This window comes from Homo sapiens, chromosome 9, assembly GCF_000001405.40.
Source record: "Homo sapiens chromosome 9, GRCh38.p14 Primary Assembly".
NCBI lineage: Eukaryota > Metazoa > Chordata > Mammalia > Primates > Hominidae > Homo > Homo sapiens.
The window spans coordinates 74,887,981-74,895,583 of NC_000009.12; positions in this window are offsets into that span (position 1 = coordinate 74,887,981).

The window sequence follows — 7,603 nt, forward strand, 5'->3', positions numbered from 1 at the left end:
GCTTCAGTTACCTAACTGCCTAGAAAAGAAGGTGACTCTCAGTTTCCTTCGATAAAAGAAGAATAACGAGGATCAAATGGGATGGCCACTGTCATCACAGACATCCTTTGTAGTAATGTATTGTTACTGTTGAGTCAGTGTGGGGCGTGAGGAGATCAGAGATTTAAGCTAACGCACTGCTTTTACTACCTGTGACTTATTGGGCATGTCAAGCCTCAGTTTATTTATCTATGCAATGGGAATAATAGGGACAAAAATCCAGTTCCCTCACAAGGTTACAATGAACAAAGGAAATCACTTAATGTGCTTCATGTGTAACATACAATACAAATGTTTTGTTATTTCTGGTTTTTTTTTCATTTTTTTTGTTTGTTTTGTTTTGTTTTGGTGGATTCCTCTGGATAGGCATCTTCTCTTTCTTTCTTTCTTTCTTTCTTTCTTTCTTTCTTTCTTTCTTTCTTTCTTTCTCTCTTTCTTTCTTTCTTCTTTTTTTAGAGATGGAGTCTTGCTCTGTTGCCCAGGCTGGAGTGCAGTGGCAGGATCATGGCTCACTGCATCCTTGACCTCCCAGGCTCAAGTGATCCTTCCACTTCAGGCTCCAGAGAGTAGTTGGGACTACAGGCACACACCACAGTGCCTGGCTAATTTTATTTATTTATTTATTTATTTATTTATTTATTTATTTATTTATTTTAGAAATGGGGTCTCACTATGTTGCCCAGGCTGGTCTCAAACTCTGGACTCAAGCGATCTTCATGCCTCAGCCTTCCAGAGTGCTAGGATTACAGGCGTGAGCCACCATGCCCGGCCTAGGCAGTCTTGATTAAGGTTGTGGTCAGTGATTTGGGGTGGATCCCAGGGTGTTGGCAGAGGTGGCACAAAGCACACAGGCAAAATGATGCTCACATTATTACAAGTGTAATTAACAATGCTAGTCATTCATCCCTGACAACCGACTTAAAATTAGGGACACCTACTCATTTAGTTTATTATGAATTTTTGCCTGGTGAATTCACATTTGCAGACAGTTTACAGGTTTTTTCCCCTCATTTCTCAATGTGGTTTTAATAAGCATTTCTTTGTTTATTGGAAAATTGTAATCTCTCATATGTGTATTGGCATTTTGTTGTTTTTCTTTTTGTTGTTGTTGCTGTTGTTGTTGAGCCAGGGTCTCGCTCTGTCACCGGGCTGGAGTGCAGTGGCACTATGTCGGCTCACTGCAACCTCCACCTCCTGGGCTCAAGCAATCCTCCAGCCTCAGCCCCCGCAAGTAGCTAGGACTACATGTGCAAGCCACTACACCTGGCTAATTTTTGTAATTTTTGTAGATACGGAGTTTCACCATGTTGCCCAGGCTGGTCTCGAACTTCTGAACTCAAGCAATCCACCCACTTCAGCCTCCCTAAGTGCTAGGCATTTGTTGTTCTTCTATAAACACATTTAATCTCCTTTCCTCTCCTTAACCCATCTTCTTTAAAGCGTTAATCTGTAAACAGTTAACAGGTTCTGAAAGCTCTTCTAAGGCAAGTAAATCCTTCTCGATCTCTGTCTTCCATACAATTTCTTTGTTAGGTCTCTTACAGTGACTGGGTCAGAGAGTTCTCAGAAATCTTCAGACCCACCAAGAAGAGTAGCCATTTGGAACTCAAGATTTGTAAGAAGTCTACCATCTTCTAGTTTACCATCTTTGGTAAACCTACATGTTAGGATGATCATATATTCTTTTCAGATCAAGCTTCAAGGCATTTAGAGCCTGAAATACAAGGGCAATGTGAAGTGCTTAAAGCATTGAATGTACTAGTTTACAAGCTGCCTTTGGTTCCCAAGCTGTATCAGAAACATCTGAGGCATTTGTCAAAAGTGCAGATTCCCAGGCTCCAACCACCCTACCCAGATCTCTTGTATCAGGATTTATAGGGTGGGGCCCAGGAATCTGTATCTTTCACAAGCACTTTAATCAGTTGTCAAACTTGTATATAAAACTTCTTGTCCAGGCATGGTGGCTCATGCCTGTAATCCCAGCATTTAGGGAGGCCGAGGCAGGAGAATCACTTGAACTCATGATTTCGAGACCAGCCTGGTCAACATGGCAAAACCCCATCTGTACAAAAAAAAAAAACAAAAATTAGCCACGCGTGGTGGCTTACACTTGTGGTGCCAGCTACTTGGATGGCTGAGGTGAGAGGATTGCTTGAGCCCAGGAGGTCGGGGCTGCAGTGAGCTATGATGGCACCACTGCACTCCAGACTGGGCAACAGAGTAAGACCATATCTCAAAAAATAAATAAATAAAAAGAAAACTATTCTGGGCACAAACATACCTATGCCCAGGGTAGCTGTGAAAATTAAATTTTAAAATATTCATTAGTAGTCTAGTGTGGTTTGATTCAGGCCAACAAATATTTCCTGAACATAGACTGTTTGTCAGGCATCATGCTGGGCACCAGGAAAACAAAGATGAATAAGACATTGTCCAGTCTACAAGTAGCTCAAGTTTATAAGAGGAAGATGAACAATCAAAAATGAAACTGGGAAGAGGTGGAGCAAGAAGGTGGAATAGAAGGCCCCGATCATCCCCTTTGTAGGAAAACCAAATTCAACAACTATGTACGCACAAAAAAAGCACCTTTCTAAGAACCAAAAATCAGGTGAGCACTCACAGTAACTGGTTTTAACTTCATATTACTGGAAGAGGCACTGAAGAGGTAGGAAAGAGAGTCTTTTTTATTTTTAACTTTTATTTTAGGTTCAGGGGTACAGTGCAGGTTTGTTTTATAGGTAAAGTCATGTCATAACAATAGCCAATAGTTATTTTTTCTGATCCTCTCCCTCATCCCACCCTCCACTCTCAAGGAGGCCCTAGGGTCTGTTCTTCCCTCTTTGTGTCCATGTGTTCTCATCATTTAGCTCACAGTGAGCTTGTAAGTGAGAACATGCCATATCTGGTTTTCTGTTCCTGCATTTGCTAAGGATAATGGCCTCCAGCTCCATCCATTTCTTGCAAAATATATGATCTTGTTCTTTTTTATGGCTGTATGGTATTCCCCGGTGTATATGTACCACACTTTTTAAATCCAATCTGCCATTGATGAGATTTAGGTTGATTCTATGTCTTTGCTATTGTGAATAATGCTGGAGTGAACATACGTGTGCATGTGTCTTTATGGCACAACAATTTATGTTTCTTTGGGTATATACCCAGTAATGGGGTTGCTGGGTTTAGTGATTGTTCTGTTTTTAGCTCTTTGAGGAACCACCACACTGCTTTCCACAATGGCTGAACTAATTTACACTCCTACCAACAGTCTATAAGAGGAAAGTCAGTATTGAATTGTGGATGCTACCCCTTCCCCACCCATCCACAGCAGCCACTTGGCATGGAGAAATCTGTGTGATTGGGAGAGGGAGAAAGCAGCGGTTGTGAGGCTTTGCATTGAACTCAGTGCTGCCTTGTCACAGCAGAAAGCAAAACCAGGCTGAACTCAGCCAACGCCTGCCCACTGAGAGAACATTTAGACCAGCTCTAGATAGAGAGGAATCATCCATCCCAGCAGTCAGAACTCAAGTTCCAGCAAGCCTCGCCACACCACAGACTGGAGTGCTCTGAGGCTCTAAATATTCTTGAAAGGCAGTTTAGGCCACGGGAACTGTAAATCCTAGTGCTGAGCTGGGCTCAGACCAAGTGGACTTGGGGGGCGTGTTACCTACTGAGACACAAGCTAGGACAGCTAAGGGGGTGCTTGTGCCACCCCTCCCCCATCCCCAGGCAACACAGCTCCTGCCAAAAGAGACCTCCTTCTTCCACTTGAGGAGAGGAGAAGGAAGAGTAAAGAGGGCTTTGTCTTGCACCTTGGATACCAGCTCAACCACAGTAAGACAGGGCACCGGTCAGAGTCATGAGGCCCCCATTCCAGGCCCTAGGTCCCAGATGACATTTCCAGACACACCCTGGGCCAGAAAGGAACCCACTCCCTTGAAGGGAGGGACCCAATCCTGGCAGGAACCATCACCTGCTGGCTAAAGAGTGTTTGGGTCCTGAGTAGCCAGCAGTGATACCTAGGCAGTATGCCGTGGACCTTGGGTGAGACTCTGAGAGGTGCTGGCTTCAGGTGAGATCCAGCACATTCCCAGCTCTGGTAGCTACAGTGAGAGACTCCATCTACTTGAGAAAAGCAGAGGGAAAAGTAAAGGGGACTTTGTCTTGTACCTTAGGCACCAGCTAGCCACAGTAGGGTTGAGCACCAGGCAGGCTCTTGGGGTCCCTAATTCCAGACCTTGGCTCTTGGACAGCATTTCTGGACCTGCCCTGGACCAGAGGAGAGCCCACTGCCCTGAAGTATGAGTCCCAGGCCTGGCAGCGTTCACCACAAGCTGACTTCAGAGACCTTGGGCCTTAAGTGAACATCAGCAGTAACCTGGCAATACTCCTCATGGGCTTGTGGTGGTGGTGGCCATGGGATGAAGCTCCTCTGCCTGTGGCAAGTTGAAGGAAGAATGAGAAGGGCTGTGTCTCATGGTTTGAGGCCCAGCTTAGCCACAGTAGAATAGAACAGGTAAACTTCTAAGGTTTTCGACTCTAGTCTCTAGCTGCCAGTCAGCATCTCTGGACCCACCCAAGGCCTGGGGGAATTCACCACCCTGAAAGGAAGGACACAACCCTGGCTGGCTTCATCACCTGCTGATTGCACAGCCCTAGGATCATGAGTAAACATAAGCAGTAGCCAGGTAGTGGTTACAGTGGGACTCGGGCAAGACCCAGTGCTGTGCTGGCTTCTGGTCTGACCCAGAGCAGTCCCAGTGGTGGTGGCCACAAGGGTGCTTACATCACTCCATACCCAGCTCCAGGTAGCTCAGCACAGAGATAGAGAGACTCCATTTCTTTGGGAGAAAGTAAGAGAAGCTAACAGGAGTCTCTACCTGGTAATCCAGAGAATTCTTCCAGATCTTATCCAAGACCACCAAGGCAGTACTGTTAGGAGTCTGCAAGAACCACAGCATTACTGGGCCTTGAGTGCCTCCTAATGCAAATACAGCTTAGATTATAACACCCAAATCCTTTTGAATTCCTGGAAAGCCTTCCCAAGGACAAATACAAACAAGCCCAGACTGTGAAGACTACAATAAATACTTAACTCTTCAATGCCCAGACACTGATGAATATCATCCACAGGCATCAAGACCATCCAGGAAAACATGACCTCACCAAATTAACTAAGGCACCAACAACCAATCTTGGGAAAACAGAGATATGTGAGTTTTCAGACAGAGAATTCAAAATAGCTATTCTGGGAAACTCAAAGAAATTCAAGATAACACACAGAAGTAATTTAGAATTCTGTCAGATAAATTTAACAAAGAGATTGAAATAATTTTTAAAAAATCACTGACTGCAGTAGCTCATGCCTGTAATTCTAGCACTTTGAGAGGCCAAGATGGACATATTGCTTGAGCTCAGGAGTTCGAGACTAGCCTGGGCAACATAACAAAACCCTGTCTCTACAATAAATGCAAGAAATTAGCCAGGCATAGTGTGCATGCCTGTAGTCCCAGCTACCCAGGAGGCTGAGGTGGGAGATTGCCTGAGCCTGGGAAGTCAAGGCTGCAGTGAGCTGTGATCATACCACTGCACTCCAGCCTGAATGACAACATGACACCTTGTCTCAAAAAAAAAAAAAAAAAAGCAGAAATTGTGAAGTTGAAAATGCAATTGACATACTGAAGAATGCATGAAAATCACTTAATAGCAGAACTGATTAAGCAGAAAAATTAGTGAGCTTGAAGACAGACTACTTGAAAATACACAGTCAGAGAAGACAAAAGAAATAAGAATAAAAAACAATGAAGCATGCCTACAAGATCTAGAAAATAGCCTCAAAAGGGTAAATCTAAGAGTTATTTGACGTGAAGAGAAGGTAGAGAAAGAGATGTGGGTAAAAAGTTTATTAAAAGGAATAATATTAGAGAACTTCCCAAACCTAGAGAAAGATATCAGTATCCAAGTACAAGAAGGTTATAGAGCACCAAGCAGATTTAACCCAAACAAGACTACCACAAGGCATTTAATAAGCAAGCTCCCAAAAGTGAAAGATAAAGAAAGGATCCTAAAAGCAGCCAGAGAAAAGAAACAAATAACATACTATGGAGCTCCAATACATCGGGCAGTAGACTTTTCAGTGGAAACCTTAGAGATTGGGAAAGAGAGTCATGACATATTGAAAGTGCTGAAGGAAAAAACTTTTACTCTATGATAGTATATCTAGCAAAAAGGAGAAATGAAGACATTCCCAAACAATAGCAGAGGAATTTCATCAACATCAGGTTTGTCCTACAAGAAATGGTAAAAGGAGTACTTCAATCAGAAAGAAAAGGACATTAACGTGCAATAAGACATCATCTGAAGGTACAAAACTCATTGGCAATAGAAAGTATACAGAAAAACACAGAATATTATATTACTGTAATTGTGGTGTATAAACTACCCTTTCTTAAGTAGAAACACTGAAAGTGAACCCATTCAAAATATTAACTACAACAACTTTTCAAGACATAGTCAGTACAATAACATATAAACAGAAACAACAAAAAGTGTAAAAGCAGGCCAGGCATGGTGGCGCACGCCTGTAATCCCAGCGCTTTGGGAGGCCAAGGTGGGTGGATCTCCTGAGGTCAGAAGTACGAGACCAGCCTGGCCAACATAGCGAAACCCAATCTCCAATCTCTACAAAAATACAAAAATTAGCCAGACATGGTGGCACATGCCTGTAATCCCAGCTACTTGGAAGGCTGAGCCATGAGAATTGCTTGAATCTGGGAGATGGAGGTTGCAGTAAGCCACGATTGCACCATTGCACTCCAGCCTTGGCAACAGAGTGAGACTATGTCTCAAAAAAAAAAAAAAAAAGTGTACATATATATATGTGTGTGTGTATGGTACACAAAAAACAAAAAGCAAGAAATTAAATTATACCACCAGAGAAAATCACCTTCACTAAAAGGAGGACAGGAAGGAAGGAAAAGACCAGAAAATAAATAACAAAATGGAAGGAGTAAGTCCTTACATATCAACAATAACATTGGCTGTAAATGAACTAAACTCCCCCATTAAAAGACTTAGAGTGGCTGAATGGATAAAACAAAAAGACTCAAGGATTTGTTGCCTCCAAGAAGCAAACTTCACCCATAAAGACACACATAGACTGAAAATATCCCACGCCAATGGATACAAAAAAAGAGCAAGAGTAGCTATACTTATATTAGAACAAATAGACTTCAAGAAAAAAACTACAAGAAGATACAAAGAAAGTCATTATATAATAATAAAAGAGTCAACTCAGCAAGAGGATATAACAGTTGTAAATATATATGCACTCAACACTGGAGCATCCAGATACATAAAGCAAATATTTTTAGAGCTAATGAAAGACTTAGACTCCAATACAATAATAGCTGGAGACTTTAACACCCCACTTTCAGCACTGGAAAGATATTCCAGACAGAAATTCATCAAGGAAACATCAGACTTAATCCACAGTATAGACCAAATGGACCTAGTAGATATTTACAGAACATTTCATCCAACAGCTACACAATACACATTCTTTTCC